The 16,819-nt window shown below is 57.6% G+C and overlaps 1 protein-coding gene across 7 annotated transcripts in view, besides 2 other annotated features; it reads right to left on the reverse strand.

The window, feature by feature from the left end:
* The window catches only part of PEMT (phosphatidylethanolamine N-methyltransferase), an 86,580-nt gene that overhangs the window by 44,212 nt on the left and 25,549 nt on the right, over positions 1 to 16,819 (reverse strand). The gene's annotated exons all lie outside the window — the stretch shown is intronic.
* Positions 3,209 to 4,014: an enhancer, noted in NCBI's record as "H3K4me1 hESC enhancer chr17:17456297-17457102 (GRCh37/hg19 assembly coordinates)". NCBI's record gives its function as "activates a minimal SCP1, AML or CMV promoter by ChIP-STARR-seq in naive H9 embryonic stem cells {active_cell/tissue: H9 hESC(naive)}" and the evidence as "EXISTENCE:reporter gene assay evidence [ECO:0000049][PMID:30033119]".
* Positions 12,869 to 13,732: an enhancer, noted in NCBI's record as "H3K4me1 hESC enhancer chr17:17465957-17466820 (GRCh37/hg19 assembly coordinates)". NCBI's record gives its function as "activates a minimal SCP1, AML or CMV promoter by ChIP-STARR-seq in naive H9 embryonic stem cells {active_cell/tissue: H9 hESC(naive)}" and the evidence as "EXISTENCE:reporter gene assay evidence [ECO:0000049][PMID:30033119]".

A 16,819-nucleotide genomic window follows, 5' to 3' on the forward strand; every position in this document is an offset into this window, starting at 1 on the left:
TCCTCTTGGGCAAAAGCAGTGCTTTTCAGGCGGGTCTGGGGCTGCCACAGCTTTTCAGCCCAGCAGACGGGAGGCACGTCCTCGTCTGGGCCACTCTGTACCTGCACACACATTCAGTCCCTGCAAGTCCGCAGCTTCCAGAGGCCATGCCAACAGGGGGTGGGCAGCGTGGGCGCAGGGAGGGAGCACACGCTGCTCAACAGCAGGGAGGAGCATGAAAGGCAGGGTGCTGACGGAAATGGATCCTTCTTCACAGGGTGGTGAGACTGTCCCTGAAAACAGTTCCTCCCTGATAGCGGGGGGGATCAGCAGGGCTGGGCACAGAGACTCTCTCTCCTCGCCAGTACAGCCTGGATTGAAAATACCATGTTCTGTGCTCACTGTGCTCCCCACCACCCCCCTCTGGAACGTGTCCCGTGACCCTCTGAGGACACAGACGTTCGTGGTTCTCTGTCACCCAAAGGGAGGGACAGGACAGAACAGCACAATCTCTGCCTGTTCCAGGGCCTGCTGCCGCTCGGTTTCTCTGGGGACGATCTTCACAGCTTTTCTGTGCCACCGATTAGGTCGAATTTGAAACAAGAGTCCATTTGAGCTTTGCAGATGCACAGCTGGGACGGAATTTGGGGTCCCCTGTGGCACTTGGGTGTCAAGGGGTGTGTGCACAAGCCACACCTGAACGGTCTGCTTCAGGACCCCCCTTCCCCCCACTCCCCGCAGCTATCGAGGGTATGCCACAGCACCTCCTACCACCACACAGTTCAAAACCAAACAAGAACAGAAGTGTCGGGCTCAGGCTGCATTCGGATCCCATCATTTATTGTCATGCATTTGTGTGATTGTTGTAGACTTCAACAGTTTTTAGTTGACAATTACTTGTATTCATTCATTTTCCAGCCCGCTTATTCTAGTTCAAGGTCGCAGGTGGCTAGAGCCTCTCCCAGGGCACAAAGCCTGGACAGGACGCCGTTCCATCACAGGACACACTCGCACCCACACCTGGTCAGACTGGGACCACTTAGATGTCCAGTTCACTGAATGTGCACATCTCGGAGATGTGAAAGAAAGCAGAGTACAGAGAAAGCCCACGGAGTCGTGAGAGCACACAAACTCCACACAGGCAGTGGGTGCAGAAGGGAATCAACTTTTTATCATCAACGTTGTAACTAAAGGACGTTATTCCAGACCCTGCTGCAGATCTTGCATGTACCTGCCCACGTGTGCAGATTGGTGGTATCAGGTGGTTTAATTTAGCACTGTGCATAGTAGGAAAAGTTGGAAATAAACCAAATGACCATCAGTGGGAGAACGGGTGCAAAGGTCAGCACCTGGGAAATGCTAATAAACGTTAATTACTGTTGTTATTATGGGACCGTAATCCTCGACTGTTGATGAAGGAAATGATGTTGAACGCCATGCAGAAGGCTGCAGAGAACATCTCAGGAAGGGACCCAAGACACCGGAAAGGGGTTCAGGGGAAAGGGATTCAAGGGGCACATTGTCACTATCTGCCTTTTTGTGCTGTTGGAATTTTCATCACGCATCAGTGTTAACTGCTTAAAATTTTAAAATTTTGAACATAATAACTGCAGACTAAACCTGTCCCAGAGGCAAGGGGCAGAGGGCCACACACGGTGGTGAGCTGGAGCTGACAGGCGCCTCTGAGGCCCAGCAGGGTGGAGAAGCTGGCGCGGGCTTGCAGGCCTCCACAGCAGCCCAGCCCAGTCCCTGATGAGAAGACAAGCTGGCGTGGGAGTGGTCGGGCCTGTCTGGGGCTGAGATGCTTTCACTCTACGTAGGATTCCAACTGGCCTGTCACAGGATGCCCCGAACAGCAGATAAGCAGCAGCAAAACAGGAGGGGCACGGGACAGGCACCAGGCACCATAAGCAGCAATGTGACACTGGAAGGAGGGGCCAGAAACACTGAACAAGGAGAGTCCTGAAAAAGTGTAGCACCCTCGGCCACCAGCGCAGGGCATGAGGGCCGTGTGTCCCAGCTCTGGTGAGCTGCTGGTCAGCGACCCCTCGTCACCATGACACGGTTGGATGGAGGAGGGCAGGGAACCTACCTGAGACTGAGACGGACGGTTAATTTTTTAAAGAGACGATACAAAAAAACTTCAGGCATTTAAAGTTCCACTGAAGGCTGGGCGCATTGGCTCATGCCTGTAATCCTTGCACTTTGGGAGGCCGAGGCGGGCAGATCACCTAGGTCAGGGGTTCGAGACCAGCCTGGCCAACATGGCGAAACCCCGTCTCTACTAAAAATACAAAAATTAGTCAGGCACGGTGGTGCGTGCCTGTAATCCCAGCTACTTGGTAGGCTGAGGCAGGAGAATCACTTGAACCTGGGAGGTGGAGGTTGTCTCTACAAAAAATACAAAAATTAGCCGGGCATGGTAGCGCATACCTGTAATCCCAGCTACTAGGGAGGCTGAGGCAGGAGAATTGCTTGAACCCAGGAGGCGGAGGTGGCAGTGAGCCGAGATCTCACCACTGCACTCCAGCCTGGGCGACAGAGGGAGACTCTGACTCAAAAAAAAAAAAGTTTCACTGAATACTGGAGAATTCTCTGATGCAAAATGGGTTCCTCCCGAGGGTCCTGGGTAAATGGGTATTTCATCTGCCATTTGGGATTCTCATGTCTAATAAGGGCCTTGCCTGAAACGGCCACCACCGTCCCTCCCATCCCTGACCCGGTGCTGATCCCCGTGAGGAGACACCTCTGTGGGTGAGACGCTGCTCCTCACCCGCGGCGCACCCAAGCCCCATCAGGGCGGTGGGGAGTCCACCCCCATTCCCGGTTGGGGGGTGTGGGTGCCACGGAGACCTGCAGGCTGCAGAAATGCGGCCACGGTGGCCCTGCGTGGAGATGCCCCTCTCATGGAAATGTGCTTGATCCATAATTAACAAGGGGGCAAGGCCATGCTGTCGTTTTCTTTTTTAATCACTCTGCTGTCGTTTCGACATGGAGACCCAAGATCTAAAATTAGGCCACTGGATCCCGCACCTGACTTTCTGAGCTCCCCAGGGCAGGGGCGTGTCTCAGCGCTGACAGTGAAGAGGTGTCAAATCTGTGCTCAGGGAACAACCTTTTCTGAACACACTGCTCCCTGCATCCCTCATCCCTTGCCCCCTTTCCCCCAGGCCAGGAGCCTTGGCTGGAGGGCGGCCCAGCGCCCCGTGAGTCCACTCTCCTCTGTAGAGTCCCAACCCCTCACTGGCCTCCCAGAAACCCCAATCGCAACCTTTTCTTCATGGAAACCAGCATGCAGGTTTCCATTTAGGTGTGAAGGTGCCTGGCCGGCTGGGGGATTAGGAAGGCTTTGCTGTCCCCACACACGGTGTCCTCAGGGACCTGTATCCATGGCCAGGAAGAAGTTAATGTCACTGCCTTCCTCTATTCAGGCCCCAAAGTTTGGGGCAGGGACAAAGAACAAGGTGTCAGGGCCCCACCCCACCCTCCAGGAGGGGTGATCTGGCAGCTGGGTGGGGAAGGCGTCCCACCTCACCGTCCTGGCTCAGGGCAGTGTCCGCCCAGAACTTGGCTGCGGGGATGCAGGGCGCCTGCACACTTCGGACTTTCCCTGTCCTCCCTGTAACTATCCCTGTCTTCTGTGGAGGCTGTGAGAAGCCGACAAGAGATGGAAAGAGCGTAGGCAACCACACACACAGGCCCTTACCAGCGGCCACCCGGGTCTGCTTGTGGTGCCACTGTCCCAGAATGACCCCTCACATGAAATTGTGCTCCAGCCCCTCACTCTGGATCCCCCCAACTCTGCACTTTTTAAGCCCACAGTGGCTCACAAGCCCACGATGGGCCCGCGTCCACCCAATGGCCAGCACTAACCTGACCCAGCACCCCCTGCTCAGTTCAGCTCCCACGCGTGGCCTTCTCGCAGGACAGCCACGTCCAGCACCTTCAGCAGGTTCTCCCCGGCAGCACTTGGCAGTCAGATGTGGCCAGACGGTCCCTTCCAGGTCTGTACCCTACGTGGAAAGCTGAGCCAAATCTAGAAACTTCTCTGGACAACTCTCCTCAGTTCCCTACTATGTCCTCTGCCTGTCCTGAAAGCTGCCATGTCCCTGCCACGACAGGAGAGGAGCCGCACTTGGGGGAACCACTCGCCCTCCCTCCCCGCTGCCCGGCAGTCACAGCCCTCCCACCCAGAGCACACCCAGCCAGGGGTGGGGTGGGGGGCTCCTCTGGGCAGGAGGGTCTGGAGGCTTCTGCGGGAGGAGGCACTGGACCTGAGACCTGGCCCGTGAGCAGGAACTGGCTGTGAAGGCCAGCAGAGGCCAGGCTCGGGGCCTGGTAGCCGGGATCCTGCAGCCAACAGCAACCCTTTCAGCACCTGCTCCGTTCTGTCCTCTTGTCTGTTTCTCTCACAGACATACCTTGTGCAGAGAAGGTGTTTGGTTTTCAGTACAAAGAAGACAGCGTTAGAGACCCGGCCCCCTCCCCTCAGCCACAAGGCAGTGGGAGGCTGGCCTCTGTCCCTCGGTAAACAAGGGTGCAGTTCCTGACAATCCATGAAGAGAAGATGCTGCCCCAGATGTTCACAGCCCCCCTCCCATGTCCTACTCTAGAGAGAGCTGTCGTGGCCCCAAAGGCATGAACGTGGCCCTCCGTGCACGGCAAGCAGTACAGGAACGTGTTCGGAAGGCAGAGTGCGCGGCCAACAGCGTGGGCAGCTTGCCTCCCTGCTCTGGCTGCTTTTAAGCCAGCAAACGTGAGCTGCGAGCGGCACAGGCTGAGGCAACGGAGCCGCTTCCCTGCAAGGTTTCATCAGTGACGGCCAGAGTGAATTCAGCAGATTTTTAAAATTTTTATTATTTTTATTTTTAATTTTTTGAGACAGAGTGTCTCGCTCTGTCTCCCAGGCTGGAGTGTAGTGACAGGATCTTGGCTCACTACAACCTCTGCCTCCCGGCTTCAAGCAGTTCTCCTGCCTCAGCCTCCCGAGTAGCTGGGATTACAGGTGCCCGCCACCACTCCTGGCTAATTTTTGTATTTTTAGTAGAGACAGGGTTTCACCATGTTGGTCAGGCTGATCTCAAACTCCTGACTTCAGGTGATCCACCCACCTCGGCCTCCCAAAGTGCTAGGATTACAGGCACGAGCCATCGCGCCCGGCCAGCAGATTTTTTTAAAGGTCCCACAGCACAGAAGTGAAAGGGAGCACATAGCTACTCATTCAAGGCCATGCACGGCCTCCACTGGGGATGCGGATGGGCACCAGAGTGACCACACACACATGCATGAGCACTAATGGGCACAGCTCTAAACCCTGCAGAGGGACCAACTCACTGGATTCTCACGATGATCCTACAAGCAGGTACTCCCACTATGCCCATTTAACAGAGGAGGAAACTGGAGCCCAGAGTGAGGACATGGCTTGTCCATGTCACCCAGCTGGGAAGCCATGGAGCTCTGCAGAGCACTGTACCCACCCCCAAGAAGAAGGGCGACACGGAGGGATGGGGCCGAATTAGGGAAGAGCCAGAGCTGCCTGGAGACAGCAGTGGGACACTTTCTGCTACGGCCAGAGCACGGGGAAGCGGAGGAGATGCTCACCAGCACCTGTCACAGCTCAGCCCGGCCCACCTCCCGAGCCTCGGCTCCCACCTGTCACAGTGTGCTGCCCTGGACAAGTGCCCTCCACCTCAACAGTTTCCCCTGCAAGGTGAGGAGGAACTTTCCAGAACTGCCACCTCTAGGCCTGCATCACAGAAGAGGGTGGGGGTGCCATGTCCCTACCTGGGCAGGGGCAGCATTCACACCTGAGTGAGTCTGAACCTCCCTTTTCCTTTGGCCCCTCCAGGACCTATGCTGGTGCTTGGGTTCCACTCAGAAGGTGGCCTGGGCTCCCCTGAAAGCCAATTTGGTCACATCGGCTCTGACCACGGCCCATCCACCCAGACCACTAAAGCCTGTCACGATCATCCCAGGGCCCAGCCAGCCCCTGTGCTGCCCTCCGATCACACAGAAGCAAATGCTCGCCCTCTGGGGCGGAAGCCACCTGTTTTTCTGCCTCCCATCCTCTGAATATGGCATCTGGGTGGGGCAGGCAGAGTGGCTCCCATAGAAGGAGGGGGATGCGTGGGTCCCTGGGCTTCTCCTCCAGGTCTCCCTCTGCCTGGGAAGAGCCAGCAGGCTTGAATGCTCCGCTCCTTTCACAGATGATGTGGCTTTAAGGAAACATGCTCTGAGGCCTTGAAGTGCTGCGCACTGTGCCGGGCACCAGGCCTCCATGATGAGCGGAACACAGCCACTCCTGGGGAAGGGCACAAGCAGCAGTCACACGTCGCACTGAAGTGGCTGGATGGACGCCAGAGAGTCCAGAGGCAGGTGAGGGGGTGTCCCCCAGACCATGAGCTCCAGAGAACAGGGCCAGGTCCTGCTCAACTGAGCATCCCTAAAACTCAGGAACAGGTCTTCTGACTCTCAGAGCAGCCCTGCGAGGCAGCTGTCATTGGGAGTCTCATTGCCCAAGAGAGAAGGGCCTGGCCCAGGTACCCAGCAAACTGGATGCTCAGCCAAGGCCGGAGCCTTCTGCATGGGAGCCTTCCTTCCTTCCTTCCTGCTCTCTCTCTCTCACTTTTTTTTTTTTTTAGACGGAGTCTCGCTCTGTCGCCCAAGCCAGAATGCAATGGGATGATCTTGGCTCACTGCAACTCCCGCTTCCTGGGTTCAAGAGGTTCCCCTGCCTCAGCCTCCCGAGTAGCTGGGATTACAGGCACGTGCCACCACACCTGGCTGTTTTTTGTATTTTTAGTAGAGAGGGGGTTTCACCATGTTGGCCAGGCTGGTCTCAAACTCCTGACCTCAGATGATCCACCTGCCTCAGCCTCCCAAAGTGCTGGGATTACAGGTGTGAGCCGCTGCGCCTGGCCCTTCCTGCAAATTTCTGTTGCCTCTGAACATGCATGGGGCTGTCTGAAGCCTCCTCCCTCCTTCAGAGAGGCCACATGAGCCACTCCAAGCAACTGGGACTGAGAGGAAGGTTAAAATGCCCTTTGTCTGCTGGAAGATCCTTGGAGTGGGAGCTTTGCTATTAATGGGGAAATCAAATGCGTCTGCAGATGTCGTGGCTCCCGCAGTGCTGTGGCCCACTGCCTCTCAGTGGGAAAGCAAGGTTCTCATCTTCAGCCAAGCACAGGATGCAGAAAAGAGACAGAGAAGCCCTCAGTCTTGGCAGATCCGCAGGGGCTCTAAGAGGACATAATTTGCCTCTGATGCCTCAAATCTCCCTCACCTTGCTGAGCTGCTTCTAGGTTGCTGCCAGAGGATTCAGTCCCAGGTCAGATGCCTGCCTGGCATCCCTTAACCCCTGGCTTTTCCCCCGGAGCCTCTGCACTCAGCAATGCCCCCAACCACTACCACCCATGCACCGGCTCCCGGCCTCTGGGCAGCCTGTTAGTCTTTCCTGCCTGGCTGATTCTTGCCGCCACCTCCCCAGCCTGACCCTCACGCAGGGACACACCAGAGCAGCAGACCTACATAGAGCCGACACCTCTGGCCACCCTGTACTGGGCTCCACTGGCCCTTGTTTCTTTGTCCCTTGCTTCATTATGAAAGGGACGTGACATGCTGACAAAATTACACATGGTAAACAGACAGGAAACACAAAATGGAAGATGCTGGTGCACGCAGAAAGTCTTGGAGGAGGAGAGCCAGGTGTGTGGTTGAGAAGCCCCCGCTGCCTCAGAGGCTCCTGGCTCGCTCTGGGACCCAGGCGGTAATGAGGATGCCTAAGCAGGTCCCTGCAGCCTCCGGAGTCAACTTCCTGCTCATGGCCAAAAGCCCACAGCGCCCAGAACAGTACTTTCCATTGGGGCAAATGCCCAGGAGATGTTTGCTGAATGAATAAAGAACCAAGGCAAAGCTCAGCAGGACTGAAATGGGGTGGGCCCAAGCCAGCACCAAGGAGTAGAGGGGGACATTGCAGGGGCTGGTGACAATGACAGGCCACTCTCCCAGTTCCATGTAGAGCCAGGCGTCCGGGACTGTCAGGTGTTCCCGAGGGAAAATACTGGCTCCTGGAGCCCATGGCTGCCAAGCTGAGCTTCAAGCCGGCCTCACCCTCCCCAGGGTTTACTAGGAGGAAATGGCATCTCTAAGCGAATGGCCAGGGAGGGCCAGGGACTAGCTAGGGACAGAACCATGCTTGGCTGGCTGGGCTAAACACCAGAACCCCAAGAGCTTGGCACCTGCAGTAGCTTCCTGCTGCAGGACAGTCAGAGGAGCCAGCTGGAGGCACGGAAAGAAAGGGCAGTGGAGGCTGGGCACAGGAGCGTATGCTTACAGTCCCAGCACTTTGGGAGGGTGAGGCGGCAGAATCGCTGGAGCCCAGGAGTTTGAGACCAGCCTGGGCAACATGGCGAGACTCCCGTCTCCACACACATACAAACACACACACACACACACACAAATTTAAAAATTAGGGCTGGGCGTGGTGGCTCATGCCTGCAATCCCAGGGCTTTGGGAGGCTGAGGCAGGTGGAACACCTGAGGTCAAGAGTTCGAAACCAGCCTGGCCAACATGGTGAAACACTGTCTCTACTACAAATACAAAAAATTAGCTGGGTGTGGTGGCACACGCCTGTAATCCCAGCTACTTGGGAGGCTGAGGCAGGAGAATTGCTTGAACCTGGGAGGCAGGGGTTGCAGTGAGCTGAGATCGTGCCATTGTACTCCAACCTGGGCAACAAGAGTGAAACTCTATCTCAAAAAAAAAAAACAAAAAACAAAAAAAATTAGCCAGGCATGGTGACGTGTGGCTGTATTCCCAGCTACTTGGGCTGAAATGGGAGGATCGCCTGAGCCCAGGAGGCAGAGGTTGCAGTGAGCAGAGATGGCGCTACTGCACTCCTGCCCAGGCAGAGTGAGAACCAGTCTCACGAAAAAAAAAAAAAAAAACAAAAAGAAAGGGCAGCAGAGTGGACCGGAGCCTGGCTTGACAACGGGTTTGTAGTGATTTCTGAGCCCTCCTAGGCCTCAGGTGCTCCATGTACACTATAACAAGGTCCCTTCCAGCCGACACCCCTCCCAGAGCCTGCCCCCACCACCTAGCAGGAAGCACCACTCCAAGGTCAGCCCACCCAACCAGGGTCCTAAGAGAAGCACGAAAGAATTCTTAGCAAGTCTGATTGGAAAGGTTTCCATCAGCAAGTCCTTCACCATTTCCAAAATGCATCCCATCCCAACCCTGCTCTCTCTGCATCCCTGCCATGGTTGCAGAAACCTTCACAAAATCCAAATCAGACCTCGTCTCTGCTCACTTCACCCCGTCGCAGCTTCTTACGCTCCCCCCCATTTTTACAGACAAGGAAACTGAGTCCCAGAGGCCCGGTATGACCCGCCGGGGCTGCACAGCTAGCAAGTGTGCTGGCGAGGCTGGTCCCAGCCCCTTCTCCACGCCTGGCTCCAAGACATAGGACTTCAGAAAAGGGGACCCTGGGGAGGGCTGGAGGCAGTGGGGTCTGAAGGAACACTACGTTAGGACTTCCCATGCAAGCCTTGCCAGTGAGATCAACACCACTGTACCCATTTCACAGAAGAGGAAACTGAGGCTCACAGAGGCTAACTGACCTGCTCGAGGCAGGCAGAACAGGACTGGAAGCCAGGCAGCCTGTTTAAAGCGGGTGCCTGCCCCTCAGAGGCCTGTCGGGGAAGGGAACCCGCTGTGAAGGGGGCCAGCCAGAGCCTGGGCACCTGTGGAGAGGGACAGGGGTCAGAGGCAGTCCAGCACTGAGCTCCTTGAAACGGGCCTGTGAGTCCTCAGAGGTGCCAAAGGCTGGTGGGGCCAGATGAAGGCCAGTTCTGGCTGGTAAGGGACGTCCAAGTAGGGGTGGAGGAATTGTGGCCTCTGGATTGGGTGGGCATTTGTGGTTATCAGTGAGTCTGGGCCAGGATTCCCAGGAAACCCTAGGCACAGAGGGGAGCCCGAGAACAGGATGGCAACAGAAGTGTGGGGGCAGAAAAGGCCCACCATGCAGCCCCACGCCCTCCCAGTTTCTGAGTGGGGAACCTATGGTTCAGAGCAGTGAAACGGCAAGCCCAGGCCAATCAGTGGTGTGACTGGGGCTGGAGCCCCGCTGCACGGCTGCGAGTGGCCCGGTGCTCTTCCTGGCCTGAGTGGGCCCCACCTGAGTGCTGGGAAGTCAGAGGTGGACAAAGCCTCTGAGGCCTACCGGCTACTCTACCCCACCTAAGGCCTCCACCAGGCCCGCCAAGACCCAGTCTCCAAGACAGTCACAGCGAAGCCACGGCCTGACCTGGCCAGAAAGATCCCCGGTGACCTGGCTGGGGCATGTCCTTTGCACAGCACCCCATGTGCTGTACACTGTGCACTCCTTGACCATCACATGGTCAAGGCAGGCATCGGGTGAAGGCAGACAGGGAGGCCTCCAGTGTGCCAAGTACGATGGAAAGGCTGTAGGCCCCAGCCTCGGGGACACCAGAGGCAAGAACATGCCTGGGTGCAGGAGAAATGTGCCCTGGGCCAGGCCGAGCTGCCCGCCTGGGAGGCAGGAGCAGACACCAAGGGGCCGCCCCATCCCCGCCACTCGCCAGCCGGGGCCAGGTCCTGGACCAGCTCTTGGCACACATGGTCTCATTTCATCACCAAATGCCACAGCAGAGGCTGTGGCAGAGGTTATCGGAAAAGGAGACAGAGGTACCTATCCAGAAAAGGGTAGGCAGCTAACCTATCCAAAGCCACATAGCTAAGGAGCAACAGGGGCTGCCTGGGGCCCAGAAGCTGTGCTGTCTTCACCACACCGGCCCCGGGGAGGGGTTAGAGAACCGGGAATGGGGGCGCGGGCCCCTGGGGATGGTGGAATTTGGAGCCACATCTGTGCAGACATCATCACCTTTTAACCAAACTGGCCCTTGAGGAATAGCCCTGCCTAGCCAAGGAGCAGCATGGTGACCGGGTGACAGGTCCCAACCAAGCCACCCTTCGCGTCCACACCAGCTGCATGTCTACACAGGCTCCCTGCTGCCCTAGCCACAGGGGCAGGGTGTCCAGCCTCCCCTCGACACTCCTCCCCACCTCCACCTCACCCCACCCTCACCTACACGCTGCCTGAGCTTCCGCTTGTCCTTCCCGCTCCCAAGACTGCCTTTAACCAACCATCCCCTGGGCCCTGGGATCCCTGAACCCTGGGCCTGGCCTGACACACGTCTAGGAGTCAGCAATGTGTGCAGTGTGACTGAAGATAGCAAGGACCCCGGCCGCGCCTTCCTCTCCCCTCTCTCCTCCCTTCCTCCAGACCCCACACTCAAATCCTATTTGCCTCAGGTTCCAGGGAGTCTCACATGATGGGCAGGACCCACACACACCACAGTCATCAAACATTCACTGGGCACCGTGGGGCAGGGCCCAGAGGACAACAGCCACTCCCAGCTCACATTTTTCAGGCTTCAACTCTGCCTGGCTCCCTGTGCTGCACACGGAGTGTGTCACATCCTCACACGACCCAGGAGGTGGAACCTACAGGTAACCCTCTTTCACAGTTAAGAACGCCAAGGCACGAAGCTTAGCACAGTGAATGGCCAGCCACAGCCGGAACCCAAGCGGTGAGGCTGCAAGCTGGAAGCTAAGTCCCCCTGAGTCCCTGCCTGAGCCCAACCTGAAGAAGCCTGGAAAGGTATCAAGGACAAAACCCACAGAGCAGTTCCACAACAGATGCCCTGGGGTGGCTGCCCGAGGGGGAAGCGGACGGTAAGGCTGGAGGTAGGAAGAGGGAACAGACGAGGGTCACTGACGCTGAGCTGGCTCCAGGCACCACCCACTCCAGGCACCATCCCGGCCCTTGCAACAGTGAGCCAGGCAGCTGTGCCTGGGTCACAGATGAGAATACCAAGGCTCGGAGAAGCCAGGAACCTTGCCCAGGTCCGTCTTGCTATCAAAGGCAGGACAGACCTGTGTGCTGAGAGGCCCAGAGATATGAGGGGGGCACAACCGCACCGGGCTCCCGAGGATGGCAAGGGGGACAGACTCCAGTGGGCTCAAGGACATGGGGGTACCACTTCCACGTGGCTACCTCACGCGGACGCCCCACGTGCGGCCTGACCCACAGGAAGTCCAGTCATAATATTGACACAGGCAGGGCACACAGCAGCCGGGAAGCTGGGCTGTTGCGAAGTTGGCGCAGGGCATGTGAGGGCACCCCAGGCTCCGGTGGGAGGGGCCTCAGGACCGGATCTGGGCCGGATCCACGAGAGGCGCTTGGAGGGCCTCTTCCTGCCAGCAAGGCTGGCGTTCCGGCCCATTGGAGTCGGCCGTGCTGCAGCTCGGGGCTGTTTTTCCACTTTCCTGCCATGATGCATCCATGTACCAGGCAGTGAGAGGCATAGGGGGCATGAAGCACAGGGCGGGACCAGCTCTGCACACACGGCCGAGGCCCTGACAAGTCAAGTGACTTCTCGGGCCTTCAGCTGCTGCTTCTGTAACACCAGTGCTGCCCCTTAAGGCAGATCGGATCCGCTGGATCCATGTGTTGTGTCTCAGGCACTGAGCTCACTGCAGCGGCAGCCACGACAGTGGCAGGAGTGTTGATGATGACTATGAGGCTGACCACCGTGACAGTCACAGTGGAGGCACGGTTAGCACTGAGCTCCTGATGGGGAGGGCACTGTCCCTCGCCACGGGCTGTCCCGCCCCTCAAGACAGCTGCACTCCCTTGATCCCACGCTCAAAGGCTGTTGGGGAACATGTGCCTTCGAGCAGACAATTGCCCCTGGCCGGGCACGGTGGCTCACCTGTAATCCCAGCACTTTGAGAGGCTGAGACAGGCAGATCACTTGAGGTCAGGAGTTTGAGACCAGCCTGGCCAACATGGTGAAACCTTGTCTCTACTAAAATTGCAAAAATTAGCCGGGCATGGTGGCACACACTGGTAGTCCCAGCTACTTGGGAGGCTGAGGTGGGAGAATTTCTTGAACCTGGGAGGCAGAGCTTGCAGTGAGTGGAGATCGCACCACTGCACTCCAGCCTGGGTGACAGAGCAAGAGTCTGTCTCAAGAAAAAAAAAGAGAGAGAAATGCCCCCAGGTCCCACCAGACCCTTGCCCAGAGGAGGCCATTTCCCCATCCCCCTGCCCCATGTGGCTTCTCTGATGTCAGGCATGTCCCACGTCCCCACCCACCTGACAAGGAACCTGCATGCAGCCATCCTTTCCTCGCAGACGCTCCCTTTTCCATGCCTCTCAATTCAAAGGGAAGGAGGCCTCAAGTGGCTGCTGGTGACTCTGACGCCTGCCTTGGACACTTACCTTGTGACTAGGACAGCCTGGCCGAGGCTCCAAGATCTGTCTCAGCAGCAGGGGAGAGTTGGAGGGTGGGCGCTAGGGGTGCAGGAAGCCCCAGCCTGAGGAGCCGGCAGACTAAGAGCCCCTGAGGCCCTCGGAGAGAAGCACGTTGGGGGTTCCCACCAGCTGCTCCTTAACAGCACCTCCACCTCCCAGGGAGGCTTCCTGACCTCAGGTACATGGGGCTTCTGGGCAGACACCTGGTCTACATGGGTGTTGTTATTGGTGCCAGCCATTGGTGGGGCCAAACCTGGCCTCTGACCCCTCAGCCCTTCCAATAACCGCATCCGCAGGGGCCCCCTCTCAGCCCCACCTCGCAGGGAGGTACCATCTCTGAGTTCCACGGAAATGCGAAGGGGGAAGCCCCAGGATTCTGCAGCAAGAAGCACAGGGTGCCCCTTAGGAAGAAGGGGCAGTTTTGGCCTGAGATAGAGGAAGGCCAGAAAGGCGACTAAAAATTTCATGAGCAAAGATCATTAATAGCAATAGCAACATCGCCCATCCACGCTGGCTTTATTGCTTTATTACAACCATGCTGCTACCGTAAGCGGGTGGCAGGCAAAGCGACAGGTGTACTGGGACCGCTGTGTGCCTGGAGCCCGGCTGTCCACACCAAGCTCCTCAGCCAACCCTGAGGAAGGGACGCTATGCTCATCTTAGAGGAAAGACCAAACGCCTTTCTAAGAACGCACATGGCCAGGTCTGAGGCCACTAGGGCAGCCAGCTCCAGCACAGCCCCACCCACCTCACCCAGGAGTGGGGCACAGTCTGCCCGCCTCCCCAGGAGGGCACTGGCTCCTGGAAGAGGGGAGTCTCTAGCACTCGGCCTGCACAGGGCTTGTGAGGCCCTCACAGGGCGGGGCTGTGGCCTGGGCAGCTTTAATTCTCTAGAGCCCCTGCCCAGCCCCTTTAGGCCTGGCTGTCCCCTATGTTCTTCCTCCTGAGTCTTGGGAAGGAGCCCTCTTGGCTAAGGTGGTTTTGAGAGCAATCCCACCAGCCCCAGGGCGGAGGCATGGGTGGGTCAGGGGGAAGGAGAAGAGCCACAGACGCCACCGGAAGGATGCGGCATCGAACACCAGGTCCTTGGGCCGTGGTGGCGGCACTGGTCCCACAGTTGCTTCCCACCAATGGCTCTTACCCCTCTGGGACTCTTACCTGCCCACATTCCACTCCTGGCAGGGAGTGAGGAATGGAGATGGAGTATGGGGCTTGGGTGGGGGGCTGCCTCCCCTCTGCCCCCAGTGGAATCTTCATCCCCAAATCCAGCTGTTTCCAAGCCCTCTTCCCCATCTCCCTTGGATTAACAGAGGATCCAGAATGGAAAGGACCTTGGGAGATAATTTACCTCCTTTGATTTTAGCCCAGGAAACTACAAGCAGGAGAGGGGACCAGAACTTGCCAAGTTTACACAGCAGGGCGGTGCAGAACAGAATTACACATAATAAGGGCACAGAGGCCAGAGAGGGCAGAGGCACTTCAGCAACATCCGGCCAGCTCACAGAAACCCCCAAACCTCAGTCTCCTTGGAAACTCCAGCTAAGTCCCATGAGCAGCCCGCTCCATCTGGGAAGGCGGGTACCCCCAGTCTCTCTTCCCTCTGCTCCCACAGCTGCCCAAGGGGGACAGTGCCTAGCAGCTGCCAACGCTGTCCTCACCAGAGGGGCTCACACCCACCGCCCATGCCAATTCAAGCAAGAGGCTGTGACGTCAGCTGGACAGGTGGGACTCAGCCTGGTAGGGGTGCCCTGGCCAGGGAGGGCCTTGGGAGAAAGGCCTCCAGGAACACACACCCCTGCACTGCACACACCGGGTGGGGTCCCTGCCTTGGGTCATTTTCAGCATGGGATGGTGGGACAAATGTCTTCCTAGGAGGGTGAGCCCAGCAGCTGCCTGGAACCTCTTGCACACCTGCAGAGCCCTGCGCCTGCCTGCCAGTGCCTTGCGAGACAACAGCTGGTTTTGAAAACTGTGGCTGGGGAATCTCTGCAGGCTCCACCTCCCACCCTCTGCGTCCATCCTCAGGACCCTCCTAATTGGCTACTTCCCATCAGGCAACCAGATTCTCCATCCCCCTTCCCCCAGGACCTTTGAGTCAGGCTGCTCTGCCCCCATTTCAGCTTCTCTTGAGATCTCTGCCCACTGCCCAGGGCACACCTTGCCTGTAAGCGAAGGGTCCCCACAGCCAGCCCAGGCTCACCAGCCACCAACACCTGCAGGAGAGAGACCACACCTCTGCATCAGGCCAGTGTCCCCTTTTTTGAATAAAATAATGGAATCATCTCAAGGTCCAGCAGTAACACAAACAAGGGAAACTCCCCTGGAACAGAAGCTCAGTGTTCTCAGCCCAGCATCTTCTGAACCGGGAGGCCCAGTGGGCAGCCTAGCACTTACCGTCTCCTATCTGAGCCCACCTAAGTCTCACTGTGCCACGCCTGGCAGGAAATGGGGAGGGCGGGGAGTCAGGACAGGTGGCAGGAACAGGGCTGCCTCTAGGGCAACTGATGAACCCTGGCAGCAGCATCCGTGACACTGGAGAGCCCAACACCAGCTGCCACTGTGTGGCCCTGTGGCATTGGCCACAAATGAGCACATCCATCAGCTCCTGAGTCTCAAGCTGTCCCTCCCAGGCTGACTCCGCACTTCTGGAGAGAAAGGGGCCGCCAGCTACAGAAGTACTCTCCAAGATGTATCCCTAGAGGCCATGAGAATTTTCTAGGCAAGAGTTTCTGGGGCTAAGTGAAAGTGCTTGGCCTAAAGCTGGGAGCAGTGGCTGAAAGAGGCAGGCCTGGGTGTTTCCACTCATGCAAGAGCTCTTCTGGAGATGGAGCAGCCAGGCAGCTCCCGCAGCTGCTTCTCCTTGGAGCCCAAACCCTTTTACACCCATTCCCTCCTGAAGGCCTTGTTGCACCTCTGAGCAAAGTGGGGCAGAGGCTGCTCCTCCAGACTCAAGGGAAGGGTTTTGTTTTGGGTCACCAAGTAGGTTAGCAGTGAAATGACACAAAAACTCATGCCTTGGAAATTGTCCATGGAATTTCATTCAGCCTCCAAAGAAGACCCAGGAATGGGGTAAAGCAAATAACACAGCCCCGCTGGGCTGCATCTCAGTTCCTGACAGTGCAGGCCTGGGGCCTGGCAGGGAGTTTTACAGGGAGAGAAAGAAGGCATGAGAAAGTGGGGAACAGCCAAGCGGGTTGTGCGTGATCCCAGTAGAGTTGGGGGTGAGTGTGCCTGGTTGCATGGCTTCCTGGGGACGCCTCAGGGTTCCTCCTCCAGGAAAGAGGGCACCCTTCACCATCCATGCCTCACAGCACCAGGCCAGGCCCGGGACATCCACAGGTGCCTCAGACCCCACCCCTAGTTTCCAAGAGCTCTCAGTCTAGGCAGGAGGCAAAACACACACTTTCAACCTCAGTTCCCGGGGCTAGGGCTCAGCACTGCCGCAGGGTTCAGGAAGGCACAGGGAGGAGGGCCCAGCCATGTCTGCACAGAGCCAGGGC

Source organism: Homo sapiens, chromosome 17, assembly GCF_000001405.40.
Source record: "Homo sapiens chromosome 17, GRCh38.p14 Primary Assembly".
NCBI lineage: Eukaryota > Metazoa > Chordata > Mammalia > Primates > Hominidae > Homo > Homo sapiens.